At 34.6% G+C, this 22,163-nt stretch overlaps 1 long non-coding RNA gene across 2 annotated transcripts in view, besides 1 other annotated feature; it reads right to left on the minus strand.

Moving 5' to 3' along the window:
• Nucleotides 1-12,515: 12,515 nt before the first annotated feature.
• Nucleotides 12,516-22,163, minus strand: part of LOC105377561 (uncharacterized) — a 30,741-nt gene continuing 21,093 nt past the window's right edge. For both annotated transcript variants that reach the window (XR_939512.1, XR_002959839.1), the window contains exon 3: nucleotides 12,516-12,555. This is a non-coding gene — a long non-coding RNA (uncharacterized LOC105377561). The remainder of the gene's footprint in view (nucleotides 12,556-22,163) is intronic.
• Nucleotides 20,066-20,630: an enhancer, noted in NCBI's record as "NANOG-H3K27ac-H3K4me1 hESC enhancer chr4:178936561-178937125 (GRCh37/hg19 assembly coordinates)". NCBI's record gives its function as "activates a minimal SCP1, AML or CMV promoter by ChIP-STARR-seq in primed H9 embryonic stem cells {active_cell/tissue: H9 hESC(primed)}" and the evidence as "EXISTENCE:reporter gene assay evidence [ECO:0000049][PMID:30033119]".

Below are 22,163 nucleotides of genomic sequence, written 5' to 3' on the forward strand. Positions count from 1 at the left end.
AGGATTGGTAAACATGCACATTTAGATTTTACAATGAAACAAAATAAGGCAAGCATGTATATTTTTGTTTGCTTTAAAACTAGTTTATCATAAATTTTGAATGTGTTGAATGCAAAGAGGAACTGGAATAAAATTTTTAAACTATTGTCTTCCAATATGCTGTTCAGGATCTCTTGTCTCAGCTTCTTTTTGGAATATTATGCATAGCTCACAGATTTCCAGCCACTTTGAGTCAAAAGAAGTCTCACTTTGAGAATTAAAACACATATCAAAGCTAAATAATGAAAAATCTCAATATGGAATTTAAAGCTTAAGTATCATACAACATTATTATTTTTCCTCTCCCCTCAGTTCAGGGGCCTGCAGTAGGGACAAGGGTTGTGGTCTTTTCCTCACTCTTTCTTCTATGTCTTCCATGTCATGCTGGTAGAATCTTCAGGATGGATGTCAGGTAAATTGGAATGGAGGAAAAGAAACAAAGTGCTTTATAACTGGGGCTATTATTACTCTGCTTTCAATAACCTTTTCGAGGCAGACATTCACATGCTATGTCTCCCATAGGATTCATTTCTTTCTCTTTAATTTGAACTCTTGTGACTCTCCTGCAAATCCTGCATAGAGAACCTAATTACTAAGATTTTCTTGCTTGAAAAGTTTGCCCCCTTGGCTGGTTATTTTTAGGACAGCTCAATCTTGTCTGTCTTCCATAGTGTCCATTTGACCCACACATCCTTCATATGTCCACAAAAGGGATTCAGTCTGTCTGACTGCTGCCCTCTGCCTCTTCCGGCTACTGTTCTGCCCTCAGGATTCTACAGGAAAGGAGCAGCACTAGTTTCTATGTCCATACATGTCCCTTTCAATGTCCTGGGGGAAAATAAAATGCTCCATTCTTTGAAAACACCTTTCACAGCATTCCCACTGCTGTTCCACGCTGTACCTAAAAGTTTATGCAACTTGGTGCACATCTGCCCAAAAAGTTGGGTGCAAGTCTTTCCTTTTGTAGAGATCTCTGAGCATTTCCTTTGAATATCACCTTCTTTTTTCCGAAGAAGCCACCTTATCCCCAATTCTCCCAAGGAGCACTAGGCTAAAACTTCACTGCTCTATCCAACTCTTTTCAATTTTATTCAGTGTTAATTTCCACAAACTCTAGATTTCTAGTCTTTAAAATATAGACTGGGAGGACGAGAGTGTGCATCATAGAACTGTTTTTTTTTTTTTGGTTTTTTTTTTGTTTGTTTTTTTGTTTTTTTTTTTACCTTTAAGAAGCCTTGGAAGAAGTGTTTAGCAACAACTTATATCTCTCTAGTGTAGGGTGCGTATCTCTTTCTAATGTCTAGAGTGTAATCATCTCTTGCTTTCCGTTTGGGGCCTTTTACCAAATTATAATAAAGTGGGGATACAAAAACAATTTAATAAAGAGTCACAGCATTGCAATTAGGAGACCAATAGAAAGAAGTCTGCTACTGATCTTTTTCTGTTGATTAATCTACTTTCTATTCAGAACCAAATAACCAAACAGAAGTTTAGACACACTGCCCATGTGTACAGGTAGTCATGTATCATAGAAAAACAAGCCACCTAAGTCACTGTATTCGTCAGGGTTACCTGGAGAGACAGAACTAATAGGATGTGTGTGTGTGTGTGTGTGTGTGTGTGTGTGTATGATTTATATATATAAAGGGGAGTTTATTAAGTATTAACTTACAGGATCGCAAGGCCGTGATGCAAGCTTAAGGAGCAAGGAGAGCCAGTGTGAGTCTTAAAACTAAAGAACTTGGAGTCCAATGTTTGAAGGCAGGAAGCATCCAACATGGGAGAAAGATGAAGGCTAGGAGGCTAGGCCAGTCTCGCCTTTTCATGTTTTCCTGTCTGTTTTAAATTCACTGGCAACTGATTAGATTGTGCCCACCAGATTAAGGGTGGGTCTGCCTTCCCCAGCCCACTGACTCCAATGTTAATATCCTTTGGCAACAGCCCCTTAGACACACTCAGGATTAATACTTTGCGTCCTTCAATCCAATCAAAGTGACACTATTAACCACCCGCAGTCACTGACCTACAATAGGCACAGATTGTGTTATTTCTATTAAGATTATTGTTTCTCATGTGGCTTATTTGGCTTGTCTTTCTCATTTTAGAAATTCATTCCTTTTCTCTTTATTGTAAATATTTACTATTATTTCTTCTTCCCATTCTTTAGCAGTTGTTCTATTATTATTACAGTTGGGTTAAATCTGAATGATTAAAAGGTAGGAAACATTGATATCTTAGTATTGTTTTACTGTGCTCAAATTGTATTGCAAGTAATCAGATATATCTATTCCCTAGGAAGACTTAAGATGTTGTTGCTCATTGTCTGTAATGTAGAAAAAGTAGCATGTTATATTTAAATTTTGATTAATTGGTGACAAGTTGAATGGCTCTGCAGACTCTCAACAACATTCGGGTTTGAATTCAAATGAGCACATTTTCAAATCACCTCAAGCACTATACTTTTCCTCCCATGAGCATTAGAATAAGGTATTTTGAAAATAAAAATGAGAAGTTGTATTGCAATTAAAGATTTCAATGTAATTTAGTAGAGATAGGCAATATTCTAATAGTGAAATATAATGACATTTCAAAGCTCCCAGTGCAGTTTTATAAAAATTTATATTTCTTCACAAATTATGAAAAAATAGGTTACTGCAGAAAACACCTTTTGCAAAGCCATGGTAAAATAAAAGAATTTTCCACAAAATTATGAAGGACAGGGGTGAAAAGAAAGAATTATGGTAAAATAAAGAGAATCAGTTGCCCCCTGATAGGTCTTTACTTCACAAACAAAGTTTGTGAATTGCATATGGATGTATTTTTGATCCACATATAAAATGTTCTGGAATGTTTGTGCATTATTAGATTGACAGAAAGTTACAGTAAAATTGTGTTTTTGGTGTACCGTCATGTTTTTGATATAGCCCATAGCACTTTAAAAATAAAGCATAAACAGGTTAAATGGAAATCACCGAAAATATTTATCATGGAAATACTAATTTCACTAAAGCTGGTAGGTAACTATCACCATCAGACAAAGCTAACTTGAGATAAAGGAGTATTATCAGAGAGAAACAGAACTTTTGAACCACGAAAATATTTGTAAGTCAAGACAAACCTTGTACCACAAATAATGAAAAAGAAAACCTTAAAATCAAATAGCAGAAACAATTTAACTCAACTGGTTATTAATATTTTATATAATTACACACAAGTAATTAACTTATAAAACCTTTGAATTCAGTAACCTAAATATAGACCTTTAGTAAGCAAAGTCTCCAAGGAAATATGTGTTTGATGCAATGTTTCCCTTAGTTTAGAAATATCTGTAACAAGGCTGGTTCAACATATGCAAATCAATCAATGTAATCCAGCATATAAACAGAACCAAAGACAAAAACCACATGATTATCTCAATAGATGCAGAAAAGGCCTTTGACAAAATTCAACAACCCTTCATGCTAAAAACTCTCAATAAATTAGGTATTGATGGGACGTATCTCAAAATAATAAGAGCTATCTATGACAAACCCACAGCCAATATCATACTGAATGGGCAAAAACTGGAAGCATTCCCTTTGAAAACTGGCACAAGACAGGGATGCCCTCTCTCACCACTCCTATTCAACATAGTGTTGGAAGTTCTGGCCAGGGCAATTAGGCAGGAGAAGGAAATAAAGGGTATTCAATTAAGAAAAGAGGAAGTCAAATTGTCCCTGTTTGCAGATGACATGATTGTATATCTAGAAAATCCCATTGTCTCAGCCCAAAATCTCCTTAAGCTGATAAGCAACTTCAGCAAAGTCTCAGGATACAAAATCAATGTGCAAAAATCACAAGCATTCTTATACCCAATAACAGACAAACAGAGAGCCAAATCATGAGTGAACTCCCATTCACAATTGCTTCAAAGAGAATAAAATACGTAGGAATCCAACTTACAAGGGACGTGAAGGACCTCTTCAAGGAGAACTACAAACCACTGCTCAATGAAATAAAAGAGGATACAAACAAATGGAAGAAAATTCCATGCTCATGGGTAGGAAGAATCAATATCATGAAAATGGCCATACTGCCCAAGGTAATTTATAGATTCAATGCCATCCCCATCAAGATACCAATGACTTTCTTCACATAATTGGAAAAAACTACTTTAAAGTTCATATGGAACCAAAAAAGATCCCGCATCGCCAAGTCAATCCTAAGCCAAAAGAACAAAGCTGGAGGCATCACGCTACCTGTCTTCAAACTCTACTACAGGGCTCCAGTAACCAAAATAGCATGGTACTGGTACCAAAACAGAGATATAGATCAATGGAACAGAACAGAGCCCTCAGAAATAACACCGCATATCTACAACTATCTGATCTTTGACAAACCTGACAAAAACAAGCAATGGGGAAAGGATTCCCTATTTAATAAATGGTGCTGGGAAAACTGTCTAGCCATATGTAGAAAGCTGAAACTGGATCCCTTCCTCACACCTTATACAAAAATTAATTCAAGATGGATTAAAGACTTAAACGTTAGACCTAAAACCATAAAAACCCTAGAAGAAAACCTAGGCATTACCATTCAGGACATAGGCATGGGCAAGGACTTCATGTCTAAAACACCAAAAGCAATGGCAACAAAAGCCAAAATTGACAAATGGGATCTAATTCAACTAAAGAGCTTCTGCACAGCAAAAGAAACTACCATCAGAGTGAACAGGCAACCTACAAAATGGGAGAAAATTTTCACAACCTACTCATCTGACAAAGGGCTAATATCCAGAATCTACAATGAACTCAAACAAATTTACAAGAAAAAAACAAACAACCCCATCAAAAAGTGGGCGAAGGACATGAACAGACACTTCTCAAAAGAAGACATTTATGCAGCCAAAAAACACATGAAAAAATGCTCATCATCACTGGCCATCAGAGAAATGCAAATCAAAACCACAATGAGATACCACCTCACACCAGTTAGAATGGTGATCATTAAACAGTGAGGAAACAACAGGTGCTAGAGAGGATGTGGAGAAATAGGAACAGTTTTACACTGTTGGTGGGACTGTAAACTAGTTCAACCATTGTGGAAGTCAGTGTGGTGATTCCTCAGGGATCTAGAACTAGAAATACCATTTGACCCAGCCATCCCATTACTGGGTATATACCCAAAGGATTATAAATCATGCTGCTATAAAGACACATGCACACGTATGTTTATTGCGGCATTATTCACAATAGCAAAGACTTGGAACCAACCCAAATGTCCAACAATGATAGACTGGATTAAGAAAATGTGGCACATATACACCATGGAATACTATGCAGCCATAAAAAATGATGAGTTCATGTACTTTGCAGGGACATGGATGAAATTGGAAATCATCATTCTCAGTAAACTATTGCAAGAACAAAAAACCAAACACCGCATATTCTCACTCATAGGTGGGAATTGAACAATGAGAACACATGGACACAGGAAGGGGAACATCACACTCTGGGGACTGTTGTGGGGTGGGAGGAGGGGGGAGGGATAGCTTTAGGAGATATACCTAATGCTAAATGACAAGTTAATGGGTGCAGCACACCAGCATGGCACATGTATACATATGTAACTAACCTGCACATTGTGCACATGTACCCTAAAACTTAAAGTATAATAATAATAAAATAAAAAAAAGAAAAGACAAATGAGTAAACATGTTCTCATTGTTGGTAGCTAAAGTTCTCACTCTGAAAGAAAGCCAGAAAACGTATGGAATGAGAGAAAATAAGAATATGTCCTTTACCTTGTTTTGAAATAGAGATATAAGTATGATTCATATTTTTAGCAGAAAACAGAATTCTGCAGTAGCAATGAGCACACCTATTACTCAAGTTTAGTCTTATAAATAATATTCCCCACTATAACTAACCATTGTTTCTTAGAGAAATGGGGGCCTCTGGACTAGTGTAGGGAAATTATAAGTTGAACCGAGGCAAGAGTGCTAATACATTAGAGAAGTTATGGTAAAGCACAGCAACCAACTGGAAGGAATTCTCATTGGCCACATTTGGGACACTTGGAGGGTAAAAAACATAACAGTGTTGAATTATTACCCATTTAATTAGAAAAATAATTCATGAATCTATAATAGCACTCACAAAAATAGGAAGAGAAAAAGAACGTTCTCTTGAAGGAATACCAGCTAAGGAATGTAGAGAGGTAAACAGAAATAGCAAATCAACAATGCAATATTAGATTCAGGCAGCATCCTCTGAGAGAAAACACACTGAGAAAAAGGATAGTCACACAATCTCAGAGTATCTTCTACAGATTGCTTAGAGAAAATAGGTTCATTCACTAATTTAGTATCATCAATAATGATAAATAACAGACATTGCTTATTACCTAATGTGATGTGATAGGAATAGTGCTACACACCTATAGAGTATTCTTGCTCAAAATCTTTACCCTGAGTCTAATTGTTAGAAGAAAAACTCAGAAATATACACATTGTGTGGTAAAGTACAACTGTGAACCTTACAACTAATTTGGACTGTAAAAAATATTAATAACATGTCAAGTTCTTGGACATTAAAAAAAAAGCCTCAGTAGATTTTGAGATTAAAAGAGATTTATGAGATATTGTAATTAGTTGTATGACCCTTAATTGGAACCCAGATTGGGAAATAAAAACCTGCAGAAGACATTTTTAGAAACAATGGGAAACTTGGATATGGACTGTATAGTTGATACTTTAAATGAAATAAAGCATGTGGTTTTTACTATTACTGTAGTTCTGAGAGCAATGTATTTGTAATTGGGACATAAGTGTATTAAAATTTAGGTGTGAAGTATTAGGATATCTGCAGTTACTTTCCTACTTTTAGACAAAAAAATTGTACAGAGAGAAAGACAAACAAATGTGTAAATTATTTTTAAATCACTTGTGAATCCAGGTGAGTTGTTTAGAGTTTTTCTACTATTCTATAATTTTACTTCATGTCTCTATTATTTTTCAAAATAAAAATTGGACAAATGATTCACTGTGTATAATTTAAGGGATCAATTTTTACAAAGAGCCATGATATCTCAATGAAAAGAGAAGCCTACCCATTTTTCATCCCAAGAAAAATTATATCAAAATTCAATTTAAAAGACAGGTTCCAGAAAAATCCTCATATTTAAAAAACACACTATTATACAATGTTAATTCAGATATTTCTCTACTTATTAATTCTTTTAAAATTAAGAAAAGCAAGATATATAGTTTGTTAGAGATAAATGTTTATTTTTTTAAAAGTGTAAATCTGAAGAGAAACCTATTCTATTGACTATTCTTTAATATGTCCCACTGGAAAGAATAATATGAGTTACAGAGTGTTGCAACCTTTAGTTTATTTTTAAATCGAGAGGAAGCTTGCTACATTTCAAGAAAGTTACCAATAGAATAGTATATTTGGACATAATGTTTGTAATTAACTGTTGTGCACTGTTCAGGTTTATTACTAAAATTTAGTTTCATTTATTCTGTGTTTTTAAAAAATCTGAGGACTATTTTTTAATGATTTATGCATCTTTGACTGCTGACCATGTTGTGTTACATTCTACCAATGGCATGGATAAGCTAGTCTATAATTTAAATTCATTTTTGATTAGTTATTATACCTAAATAAAATAGTGTAGACTATACTATGTGATTCCTAAAACTTATATAATCAATTTTTGCCAATTCCTTGCCTATCCAAACTTAAAATACTAAGAAGATAGTGTTTCCCTTAGTGAAATTTTAAGTGTGGAATACCTACAAAATTGTGCACAAATCATGTGTGTGTGTGTGTGTGTGCACGTGCGCATGCAATTCAGTAAATTTTAACCAACTCTGCACATTCAATAAGCTCCCAGGTCAGGAAATATTACCAGAAAAGGACGCTTGTCATCAGCATCCTTTTCTACTATTGGTCATCACTGATCTCATTTCTAACAAAGATGAGTCATTTCCAAGATGATGATCAAATTCACAATTATACCATAAATTTTATGTCCATTATAGTGTTAATGGACCTTTGGATTATGTCTAGGTTTTAAGTGTTACAAATGATGCTTCTATAAAAATTCCAGGACATGTCTTTCGGTTCTCATATAAACGTACTCTTGTTGACATACACCAATGAATAGAATTGCTGGATTAGAGGATATTAATATTCTCAGCTTGAGAAAGTGCTCTCACAGTTACCACAGTGATGTTAAAAATTTTTATTCCTTTTATCAATAGATGAGAGTGTGGATTGCTTCTCTTTCCCACCAACATTATTTTCTACATCTTTCTATTTTAGACATTCTGGTTGGGTTATAATGGTATTGGCTTATAACATGAATTTGCATTTTCCAATAAATAATGTAATGGTATTGGCTTATAATAAGAATTTGCATTTCTAATAAATAATAATTCCAACAGAATAGTCTATTTTGACATAATGTTTCTAATTAACTGTTGTGCACTGTTCAGGTTTATTATTAAAATTTAGTTTCATTTCTTCTGTGTTTTTAAAAAATCTAGGGACTATTTTTTAATGATTTATGCATCTTTGACTGCTGACCATGTTGTTGTGTTAGACTCTACCAATGTATTTTGAACTTTGTATTTGAGTGAAGTTTTTCATGTTACAGCTTAAAAGATTTCACCTTTTTTTAACTTATAAAATACTGTGTAAAAACCCCCTTTATCTCTGCTTCTTACCCTATCCCTGAATCTTACATTTTCAAAGCCTCCGGTAAGATGTGCTCCTTTGAAACATTTACTCAAAACAAAATAGCCTATGTTTTTAGAGTTTTAAAAAATGTGTAAGATGATATAGTTGAGCAGCCTATTTCATGTGTTTTTAGTCATTAGAATTATTCATTAGGGAAGTTACTATCACATCTTTCTCTTATAAACTCTTATTAGATATTTGTACTCTGGCTATCTGGTTTCATTTGGTAGGTTGAGTTTTTAAAAATAATCTGTTTTTTAGAGTAGTTTTGCATTCACTGCAAAACTGAATGGAGAGTACAGGTAATTTCCATATATTCCTTGTACATAAACACAACCCCCCACTACTGACATCCTGCACTAGAGTTTTACATTTTTTATAATTGATAAACGTGCATTGACGTGTCATCATCCAAAGTCCATAGCTTATATTCAAGTTTACTGTTAGTGTTCTATATGCTACGAGTTTTAACAAATGTATAATGACATGCATACATGATTATAGACCCCAGAGCAGTGACACTGCACTAAAAATCCTCTGTGCTCCTTTCATTTATCCTTCCCTCCCCACAAGATATGGAAAACACTGATATTTACTGTCTCCATAGTTTTGTTTTTTTCAGAATATTATTTAGTTGGAATCATAAAATATGCCATTTCACATTGGTTTCTTTCACTTTATAATATGCATTTAAGGTTTCTTCATGTCTGTTCATGGATTGACAGCTTAAATTTCTTTTTTGTACTGAATAATATTCCATTGTCTGCTGTTGTATCTAGTTTCTTTATCCATTCACCTACTAAAGGGCATCTTGGTTGCTTTCAAGTTTTGGCAATTATGAATAAAGCAGCTTCTTGACCAACTGGACCTAAGAGACATCTACAGAATACTCCACCCGACAACCATGGAATAAACATTCTTCTCACTCACACGCAGAACGTATTCTAAGATTGACTACATGCTTGGCCATAAAGCAACTTTCAATAAGTTCAAAAAACTCAAAATCATACCAAGAGTATGTTCAGACTACAGTGCAATAAAAATAAAATCAAAGCCAATGAAAACTGAACAACTTGCTTCTAAATAACTCATGGGTAAACAATGAAATTAAGGCAACAATCAAAAACATTATTTGAAACTAATGAAAATAGAGACAAAATTTACCAAAATCTTTGTGATGCAGTTAAAGCAATGTTAAAAGATCATAGTGTTAAACACCGTTATCAAGAAGTTAGAAAGATCTCCAATTAATGATCTAACATCACACTGCATTAGTTTGTTCTCACATTGCTATAAAGAACTATCCTTAAAAATTTTTAAAGAAAAGAGGTTTAGTTGATTCACAGTTCTGCAGGCTATACAAGAAGCATGGCTGGGAGGCCTCAGGAAACATAATCATGGTGGAAGGTCAAAGGGGAAGCAAGCAAATCTTCGCATGGTGGCAGGAGAGAGCGAACAAAGGGGGAGGTTCTACACACTTTTAAACAAGCAGATCTCATGAGAACTCACTCACTATCATGAGAACAGCAAGGGAGAAATTCGACCCTATGATCCAATCACCTTCCACCCAACTCCAATACTTGAGATCACAATTTAACATGTGATTTGGGTGGGAACACACCAACAGGAACTAGAACAAAAAAAGCAAACCAACCCCTAAGCTAGCAGAAGAAAAGCAATAACTAAAATCAGAAAAGAACTGAATGAACTTGAGATGCAAAAGTCCATACAAGAGATCAGTGAAACCAAGAGCTGTTTCTTCCAAAGAATAAACAAAGTTGATAGAGCACTAGTTAGATTAACAAAGAAAAATGAGAAGATCCAAATAAGCTTAAGTGCAATCAGAGATAACAAAGATGACATTATAACTGATCCCACAGAAACACAAAAGATCCTTAGAGACTATTAAGAACACGCTATACATACAAATTAGAAAATCTAGAGGAAATGGATCAACTTCTGGAAACTACAATCTCCCAAAATTGGACCAGGAAGAAAACAAAATCCTGTCTACACAAATGGCAAGCTCTGATATTGAATCAGTAATTTAAAAACTACCAACCAAAAAAAGTCCTAGACTACATGGATGCAGCCAATTTCTATGAGTCATACAAAGAAGAGCTGGAAACAATACTATTATAACTATTCCAAAAAAATCAAGGAGGAGGGGCTCCTCCCTAACTCATTCTAAAATTCAGCCTCATCCTGATACCAAAATCTGGCAGAGACACAACAACAACAACAACAAAACTTCATGCCAATATCCTTGATGAACATAGATGCAAAAATTCTTAGCAAATTATTGGCAAATTGAATCCAGTAACACACCGAGAAATTAATTCCCCATGATCAGGTAGGTTTTACTCCTGGAATACAAGGTTGGTTCAACATATACCAGTCAACAAATGTGATTCACCACATAAACAGAATTAAAGTAAAAAAACCATAATCATCTCAATGGATGCAGGAAAAGCTTTCAATAAAATCCAACAACCCTTCTTGATAAAAAAAAAAAAAGATCCTCGATAGAATAGGCATCAGAAGGACATACCTCAAAATAATAAGAGCCACCTATGACAAACCTACAGCCAATATCATACTGAACCGGCGAAAGCTGGAAACATTCTCCCTAAGAGCTATAATAAGACAAGGATGCCCACTCTCACTTCTCCTGTTCAATATAGTACTTTATGTCTAAGCCAGAGCAATCAGGCAAGAAAAAGAAATAAAAGGCATTCAAATGGGAAAAAGAAGTCAATCTATCTCTCTTAACTGATGATATAATTCTGTAGTTTGAAAACCTTTAAGTCTCTGCCCATAGGCTACTGGAACCAATAAATGATTTTAGCAAGATTTCAGGACACAAAAGCAAATTACAAAAATCAATAGCATTTCTCTACACCAGTAACTTCCAGGCTGAGTCAATTCAAGAATACAATCCCATTTACAATACCCACAAAGAAAATGATATACCTGTTAATACAGCTAACTAAAGAAGTGAAAGATCTCTACAAGGAGAACTACAAGACACTACTGAAAAGAAATCAGAGATGACAAAAATAAATGGAAAAACATTCCATGCTCATGTATTGAAAGAACTAATGTCATTAAAATGGCCATACTACCTATAGCAATTTACATATTCAATGTTATTCCTATGAAACTACAAATGTCATTCTTCACAGAATTAAAAAAAAAAAAAACAAAAACTATTCTAAAACTTATGTGGAGCCAAAAAAGTGCCTGAATAGCAAAGCAGTCCTAAGCAAAAAGAGCAAAGCTGGAGACATCATACTATCCAACTCCATATTATATTACAAGGATACAGTAAGCAAAACAGCATGGTACCGGTATAAAAACAGACACCTAGAACAAAGAAACAGAAGACAGAAACCAGAATAAAGCCACATATCTACAGCTATCTAATCTATGATAAAGTCGACAAAAATCAGCAATGGGGAAAGGACTCCCTATTCAATAAATGGTGCTGGGCTAGCTGGCTAGCTATATGCAGAATAATAAAACTAGATCACTGGCCAGGCATGGTGGCTCACGCCTGTAATACCAGCACTTTGGGAGGCCGAGGTGGGCAGATCACTAGGTCAGGAGTTCGAGACCAGCCTGGCCAACTTGGTGAAACCCCGTCACTACTAAAAATACAAAAATTAACTAGGCATGGTGGTGGGCACCTGTAATCCCAACTACTCAGGAGGCTGAGGCAGGAGAATCATTTGAACCCAGGAGGCGGAGGTTGCAGTGAGCCGAGATCATGCCATTGCACTCCAGCCTGGGAGACAGGGTGAGACTTTGTCTCAAAAAAAAAAAAAAAAAAAAAAACCCAAAAAACTAGATCGCTAGGTTTTACCATAGCCAAAAATTGACTCACAATGGATGAAAGATTTAAAGTAAGACCTCAAAGTACAAAAATCCCAGAAGGAAACCTAGGAAATATCCTTCTTGACATCAGCCTTGAGAAAGAATTTATGATTAAGTCCCCAAAAGCAATCACAACAAAAATAAAAATTGACAATTGAGAATTAAACTAAAGAGCTTCTGCACAGCAAAATAAACTATCAACAGAGTAAACAGAGAACCTACAGAATGAGAGAAAATATTAGCAAACTATACATTAGATAAAAATCTAATATCCAGAATAGGACAGTAAACAAATCAACAAACAAAAAACAAATAATCCCATTAAAAAATGGGCAAAGGACATGTATAGACACTTTTCAAAATAAGACATACATGTGGCTAACAAACATATGAAATCACTAATCATCTGAGAAATGCAAATTAAAACCACAATGAGATACCATCATACACCAGTCAGAGTTGCTTTTATTAAAAAGTCAAAAGACAACAGATGCTGGCAAGGCTGCAGAGAAAAGAGAAAGTGTACACGATGTTGATGGGAATGTAAGTTAGTCCAGCTACTATGGAAAGCAGTTTGGATTTTCTCAAAGAACTTCAAACAGAGCTACCATTTGACCCAGCAATCCTATTACTGGGTATATACCCAAAGGAAAACAGATCATTATATTTTAAAAAATGCACTTGTATGTTCATTACCATGCTATTCACAGTAGCGAAGACATGGAATCAACCTAGGTGCCCATCAACGGTGGCCTGGATAAAGGAAATGTAGTATATATACAACGTGCAATACTATGCAGTCGTAAAAAAGAATAAAATGTTCTTTGCAGCAACGTGGATAAAGCTGGAGGCCATAATCCTAAGCAAACTAATGAAGGAACAGAAAATGAAATACTGCATGTTCTCACTTAAACACAGGAGCTAAACATTCAGCTCACACGGACAAAAACATGTGAACAATAGGTACTGTGGACTAATAGAGTGGGGAGGGAGGGAAGGGGATGTGGGTTGAAAAACTACCTACTGGGTATATTATACTCACTACATGGGTATAATATACCCTTGTAACAAACCTGCACATGTACCCCCTGTAACTAAAATAAAAGTTGAATTCTTTAAAAAAATGCTGCTATAAGCATCCCTTTTCAGGTTTTTGTGAAGACATAAATTTCAATTCCTCTGGATAATCACCAAGGAGTGTAATTGCTGGATCCTATGGTAAGCGTATGTCTAGTTTCGTAAGAAACTATCAAACTTCCAAAGTGGCTTTACTATTTTGCATGACCACTAGCAGTGAATGAGTTCTGTTGTTTCACATCCTCACTATCATTTTGTGGTGTCAGTGTTTTGGATTTTCACCATTTTAATAGGTGTGTAGTGGTATCTCATTGTTATTTTAATTTGCAATTGTCCAAGACCTGATATCAAGCACCTTTTCACAGGCTTACATGCCATTTGTGTATTTTCTTTGGTAAAGTGTTTGTTTGGGCCTATTGCCCATTTTTAATTGGGTTGTTTCCTTATTGCTGGGTTTTAAGACTTATTTTTGTATTACAGTTAACAGTCCTTTATCAAATATGTCTTTAGCAAATATTTTCTTCGAGTCTGTGGCTTGTAGTCTCATTCTCTTGCCAAAAATTTTTAATTTTCATGAAGTCCAGCTCATCAATTCTTTTATTTATAGATCATACCTTTGGTGTTAAATATGAAGTCATCACCATATCCAAAGTTATCTAGATTTTCTCCTATATTATCTTCTAGAAGATTTATAGTTTTACATTTTACATGTAGATTATTTTGGCTTGGTTTAGGGGAAGGATGTAAGAACTATGTCTAGATTCATATTGTTTTGCATGTGGATGTTTGGTTGGTCCAGCACTATTTGTTGAAAAGATTTCTTTTCTCCATTGAACTGCTTTTGCTTCTTTGTCAAAAGTCGGTTGACTTCATTTGAGTGGGTCTTTTCACCTGTTCCATTCATCTGTTTGTGTATTCTTTCACCAATATCACATAGTCTTGATTACTGTAGCTTTATAGTAGGTTTGAAGTTGGGTGGGGTCAGTCCTCTAACTTTATTCTTTTCCATCAATATTGTGTTGGCTATTTGGGGGTCTTTTTACTCTCCATATGAACTTTAGAATTAGTTTTTTAATAGCCACAAAATAATTTCTGTTGAGATTTTGATTGGGATTACACTGAATCTATAGTAAAATTGAGAAGAACTGACATCTTAGCAATATTGAATATTCTTATCCCTGAACATAAAATTTCTCCATTTATTGAGTTCTTTTCTGATTTCTTTCACCAGTGTTTTATAGTTTTTCCTCACATAAATATTGTACATATTTTGTTAGATTTATGCTTAAGTATTTCATCTTTTTGGGTGTTAGTGTAAATGGCATTGTGTTTTTAATTTCGAATTTCAGTTGTTCATTATTGATGTAGTAAGTCACGAAAGCAATTGACTTTTGTAATAATAACTTTGTATCTTGCAACCTTGCTATAAATTCTTACTCCAGTTTTTTTTGTCAGTTCATTTAGATCTTCTACATAGACAGTCATGTCATCTGCAAACAAAGACAGTTTTATTTTTTCCTTCTCAACCTCTATATTTTAATTTCCTTTTCATGTCTTACTGCCTAGCACTTTCAGTATGATGTTGGAAAGGAATGATGTGAGGGGACAGTCTTGTCTTTTACCTGATCTAAGTGGAAAAACTTATTTTTAAAAAACGAAGTCTGATGTTAGCTGTAGGTTTTTTTGTAGATACTCTTTATCAAATTGAAGAGGTTCCCCAGTACTTTAATTTGCTGACAGTTGCATTTCTTTAAAAAATCAGGATTAAGTATTGTTTTGTCAAATGACTTTTCTCCATCTATTGATGTAATCATGTGATTTTTCTTTGTATGTTTATTGATGTGATGGATTATATTAGTTTAATTTTGAATTTTGAACCAATCTTACCTACGTGGGATGAAGTCCGCTTAGTTCTGGTGTATAATTCTTTCATAAATTATTCATCTCAATGTGTTAACTTTTTTCTGAGGATTTTTGCATCCACGTTCATGAAAGATATTGTTTTGTAGTTTTCTTTTCTTATAATCTCCTTGCCTAATTTTTGTATAAGGCTAACTCTGGTCTTACAGAATTAATTAGAAACTACTCCCTCTAATTTTGTCTTCTAGAGGAGATTATAGAGAATTTGTATAATTTTTTTCTTAAATGCATGGTAGAATTCACTAGTGAACACATGTGGGCCTGAGGCTTTCTGTTTTGGAAGGTTATTCATTATTGATTCAATTTTTTAAGTGGACATGCCTATTCAGATTGTCTATTTGCAGGTTCCTTTTTCATTCTCTTAAAGCTGCCTTTTGAAAAATAGAAATTCTTAATTTTAATATAATGTAATTCATCAATATATTGTTGAAGGATTAATGCTTTTGGGTCCTCTTCAAGATATCTTTGCCTACTCTAACATCACAAGAATGCTCCTCTAAGTTTTGTCATTTGTTTGATTTCAAATTTAAAAGGCAAGAAAAACTTTAATGCATTTAGAATAGAATTTTGTGCACAATATCAAGTAGGCATTACTTTAGGACATTCCATTGAATTATCACCGTTAGTTGAAAGTCCATGTTTCCCCTCTAAACTGCAATGTCACTGTTGCCATAAACCAGGTGACTCTGTTTGTGTAGAAGTATTTCAGGACTGTTTTTCTGATCACTTAACATAATTTTCAGATAATAAATGTAATTAAACTAGCATTATAATAGATCCTAAGTCTTCCAGTGATGTACTTTTTCCACAATACAATCTTGTTTGTTTTTGGTCATATGTATTTCCATATGCATTTGAGTTAGTTTGTTGATTTCAACACTGACATCTCTCTCTCTATATATATAGTTATTATGATTATTTACAATAATATATAATTATTACAATTATTATAGTTATAATTTTAATAATTGTAATAATTCATGGAATGAATTTGTATCACCCAGATAAAAAATACATTTAATAATCTTTTCATATGTTCATTGCTCTTTATTTTGTATGTGATTGCAGTTTTTTATGTCACGCTGTATAGATTCTTTTATATTTTCTGTGTTTATGTCAGATAGTGCCTTTTTTCATTCCTTTCCAAATTGTATCCACATTTAAAATATTTATTCTCCATTTCGTTTTGGCTAGAATGACAAGTGTAATGTTGAATAGAAAGGCATGATTTTAAATATCCCTGTCTTTTCCCAAATTCTAGAGGCAAGGCCTTAAAATTCACCATGGGAATATGGTATTTAGTGGAGATTTTACACATGTTTTTATTAGACATAGATACTAAGAATTTCAAAATATAAATGACTGACAAATTTTATCAGATGTCTTTTCTGTATCTATTGAAGACAAGTATTTTTCTCCGTCTTTTGACATAGTCACATTGATTTCTCCTTTTTTGTTATTGTGGCAGAATATATTAAAGCATTAATACATTAATACATCAAATACTAAATGACCAATCTTCCTACAAATAGCTGGGGTAGATTATCTTGTACATAATTATAGATTTATTTATGTTCTTTTTTCCATCTATTTTTACAAGAGAGATACTTCTAGACATTTATTTCCAGAAATTATTTTGGAAATTTCATTTTTTTATTATCTTAAAATTTATTTTAACGCCAAGATTATGCTAGCTTTATTAAAATATTTGGTAAATATTTTCTTTTTTTTATCTTGTCTTCAAGACTTTGTATACAACTGATGTTATTCCTTGAGTGTTTCAAGAAATTTGTAGATGGAGTCATATAAACTAGTTATTTTCCTTTTGCGATGGTGTTTAATAATGCATTCAAATTTCTTCAATAGATGAAATATGCAAATCTTTTATTATTCTGTCAGCTTTAGCATGTTTATCCTAATTTTCAAATATATTGACATACATTTATTATGATGATAATATTAATAGTGTTGTAATGTCCCCTTTTAAATGTTGGCATATAGTTATTTTTGTTTTCTTTTTTTTAAATTAATAAGTGATATGAGGTGTTTATCAAGTTTATCAATCTTTTCAAAAAATCAACTTTTGGCTTTGTCTAACTTTTCTATTATACATTTTTTATTTTTTAGATTTCTACCCATATCTTTATTACATCTTTTTACATAATAAGTTTAATTTGCTTTTTTCCTCTAATTTGAATTAGAAAACATTTCAAATCTTTTGTTACTCATATTCTTTTGATATATTCATCTAAGCCAGTACATTTTATTCCAACTATGCTTTAATTATACCCTGCAAGAATTTATATGTTTAGTATTCAGCTAAATATTTTCTAATTTCCATTGTTTCTCTTTTGAATTCTAGGATTTTCTAAGATATGTGGTTTGATGTTTTCACACTTAGGAATTTTCCAGTTATCATTTCTTAGAGAAATAAAAACATTTTAATATTTTAAACATTTTGAGGATTTCCTTTGACTTAGCTATAAAATTTGGCAAATGTTTCATGGCAACCGAGAAAAAAATATATTTTTTGTTGTTTTTTGATGCCAGATTCTTTCTATAGGAATAAAAATATTTTAAATTATATTTTAATTAAAGAGGCTGAGAAGGGAAAGGAAGGAGGATGAGAAGAAGGTAATCAAGGGTCAAACATACAGTTAGATAAAAAGAATAAGTTCTGGTATCCAATAGTACAGCAGAGAAATTATAGTTAACAATAATTTATTATATATCTCAAAATAGCTAGAAAAGAATAATTGTAATGTTTCCAACAGAAAGAAAAGATAAATGTTTGAGGTGGTAGATAACTCAATTGCCCTGACTTCATTATTCCACATTGCATATACGTATCAAAATATCACACATACCTTCAAAATAAGTACAACTCTCATATATAAATGAAAAATAAAAGAAAATGATTCCTTGTTCACTTTTCCCTTCCTTCTATCAGCTACTGGAGGAGGTGTTAAAGTATTTTTTAATATTGAAGGTTACTTTTTCCCATCAATTTGATTAATTTTTGCAATATATAGGTAATAGCTATGTTACTAAATATATAGAAGTTTGAGATTACAAAATAGTTATAATTAATTATTACAAAATTTTTTTCTTTTAGCTAGTAATGTTAACTGCTTTTAAGTCACATTTATTTAGTCTTTCCATGGCATATCATTTTCCAAGATTTTCTTTCAACCCTTTTGTATCTTTTATCTTTGCAACAAAACTTTTGATAGATTTAGGTTTAGAATAAAATCCAGCTCTACAATATTAGTGCCTAATTTTGAGAATTTACCACATATTCCATATAACTGAAATTGCTGAGTTTTACCTATAATTTTATTACATGTTTTCCATTTGACTCACTTATTTTAAGATCCTACCTTCCCTCCTATGTTGTCTTCTTTTAAATTAATAAATACTTTTAATTGTTCCATAATTCCATTTAATAATGTGATATTCTTTCATTTTTAATAATTTAATTATGTTACGGATTACATTACATATTCTTACATTTTTCAGTGTAATACAAATATTTCTGCAGTAAATCTACATGGGAACTTCAGAACACATTGCTCCTTCAGGTGCTTTTGCTGTCTGCATAATTTCCTCTCTCAATACATTCAAAACTCCACAAAACACTACTGTTGTTTTGAGTAGTCGATATTTACATATATTTACAAATTTAACTCCCTTTCCAGTATTCATTATTGCCTCTTGTAATCATATACATAGATAACTATATAGTTGTGTGTGTGTGCATATATATATATATATATATATATATATAAAACATAACTATAAATTAAATGAAAACTGTTTTTTGGCTGCATAGACCAGCTTCTGATATCTGAATCAAATTAAGATGTTAAATATTCATAGAAACCAAGTTATAGATATAAAATTAAGTTTTAAAACACTTTAATTCAATAGTGATTGCTAGTCATTTTAGGGCAAACAATCTAATAATAAATTGGCACATTCTCCAAATTGCTTGGCAATTAGTAAAATTGTTAAAAAGAATGCATTTTTTTAAGAATAGAAATTTTTGGGGGGAGGAGCCAAGATGGCCGAATAGGAACAGCTCCGGTCTACAGCTCCCAGCGTGAGCGATGCAGAAGACGGTGATTTCTGCATTTCCATCTGAGGTACCGGGTTCATCTCACTAGGGAGTGCCAGACAGTGGGCGCAGGTCAGTGGGTGCGCGCACCGTGCGCGAGCCGAAGCAGGGAGAGGCATTGCCTCACCCCGGAAGCGCAAGGGGTCAGGGAGTTCCCTTTCTGAGTCAAAGAAGGGGGTGACGGATGGCACCTGGAAAATCGGGTCACTCCCACCCGAATACTGCGCTTTTCCGACGGGCTTAAAAAACGGCGCACCACGAAATTATATCCCGCACCTGGCTCGGAGGGTCCTACGCCCACAGAGTCTTGCTGATTGCTAGCACAGCAGTCTGAGATCAAACTGCAAGGCAGCAGCGAGGCTAGGGGAGGGGCGCCCGCCATTGCCCAGACTTGATTAGGTAAACAAAGCAGCCGGGAAGCTCGAACTGGGTGGAGCCCACCACAGCTGAAGGAGGCCTGCCTGCCTCTGTAGGCTCCACCTCTGGGGGCAGGGCACAGACAAACAAAAAGACAGCAGTAACCTCTGCAGACTTAAATGTCCCTGTCTGACAGCTTTGAAGAGAGCAGTGGTTCTCCCAGCACGCAGCAGCTGGAGATATGAGAACGGGCAGACTACCTCCTCAAGTGGGGCCCTGACCCCTGACCACCAAGCAGCCTAACTGGGAGGCACCCCCCAGCAGGGGCACACTGACACCTCACACGGCAGGGTATTCCAACAGACCTGCAGCTGAGGGTCCTCTCTGTTAGAAGGAAAACTAACAAACAGAAAGGACATCCACACCAAAAACCCATCTGTACATCACCATCATCAAAGACCAAAAGTAGATAAAACCAGAAAGATGGGGAAAAAACAGAACAGAAAAACTGGAAACTCTAAAAAGCAGAGCGCCTCTCCTCCTCCAAAGGAATGCAGCTCCTCACCAGCAACGGAACAAAGCTGGATGGAGAATGACTTTGAGGAGCTGAGAGAAGAAGGCTTCAGACTATCAAATTACTCTGAGATACGGGAGGACATTCAAACCAAAGGCAAAGAAGTTGAAAACTTTGAAAAAAATTTAGAAGAATGTATAACTAGAATAACCAATACAGAGAAGTGCTTAAAGGAGCTGATGGAGCTGAAAACCAAGGCTGGAGAACTACGTGAAGAATGCAGAAGCCTCAGGAGCCCATGCGATCAACTGGAAGAAAGGGTATCAGCGATGGAAGATGAAATGAATGAAATGAAGCGAGAAGGGAAGTCTAGAGAAAAAAGAATAAAAATAAATGAGCAAAGCCTCCAAGAAATATGGGACTATGTGAAAAGACCAAATCTACGTCTGATTGGTGTACCTGAAAGTGATGGGGAGAATGGAACCAAGTTGGAAAACACTCTGCAGGATATTATCCAGGAGAACTTCCCCAATCTAGCAAGGCAGGCCAACGTTCAGATTCAGGAAATACAGAGAATGCCACAAAGATACTCCTCAAGAAGAGCAACTCCAAGACACATAATTGTCAGATTCACCAAAGTTGAAATGAAGGAAAAAATGTTAAGGGCAGCCGGGAGAAATGTCGGGTTACCCTCAAAGGGAAGCCCATCAGACTAACAGCAGATCTCTTGGCAGAAACCCTACAAGCCAGAAGAGAGTGGGGGCCAATATTCAACATTCTTAAAGAAAAGAATTTTCAACCCAGAATTTCATATCCAGCCAAACTAAGCTTCATAAGTGAAGGAGAAATAAAATACTTTACAGACAAGCAAATGCTGAGAAATTTTGTCACCACCAGGCCTGCCTTACAAGAGCTCCTGAAGGAAGCACTAAACATGGAAAGGAACAACCGGTACCAGCTGCTGCAAAATCATGCCAAAATGTAAAGACCATCGAGACTAGGAAGAAACTGCATCAACTAACGAGCAAAATCACCAGCTAACATCATAATGACAGGATCAAATTCACACATAACAATATTAACTTTAAATGTAAATGGACTAAATGCTCCAATTAAAAGACACAGACTGGCAAATTGGATAAAGAGTCAAGACCCATCAGTGTGCTGTATTCAGGAAACCCATCTCACAGGCAGAGACACACATAGGCTCAAAATAAAAGGATGGAGGAAGATCTACCAAGCCAATGGAAAACAACAAAAGGCAGGGGTTGCAATCCTAGTCTCTGATAAAACAGACTTTAAACCAACCAAGTTCAAAAGAGACAAAGAAGGCCATTACATAATGGTAAAGGGATCAATTCAACAAGAAGAGCTAACTATCCTAAATATATATGCACCCCATACAGGAGCACCAAGATTCATAAAGCAAGTCCTGAGTGACCTACAAAGAGACTTAGACTCCCACACATTAATAATGGGACACTTTAACACCCCACTGTCAACATTAGACAGATCAACAAGACAGAAAGTCAAC

Source organism: Homo sapiens, chromosome 4, assembly GCF_000001405.40.
Source record: "Homo sapiens chromosome 4, GRCh38.p14 Primary Assembly".
In the NCBI taxonomy this organism is placed as follows: domain Eukaryota; kingdom Metazoa; phylum Chordata; class Mammalia; order Primates; family Hominidae; genus Homo; species Homo sapiens.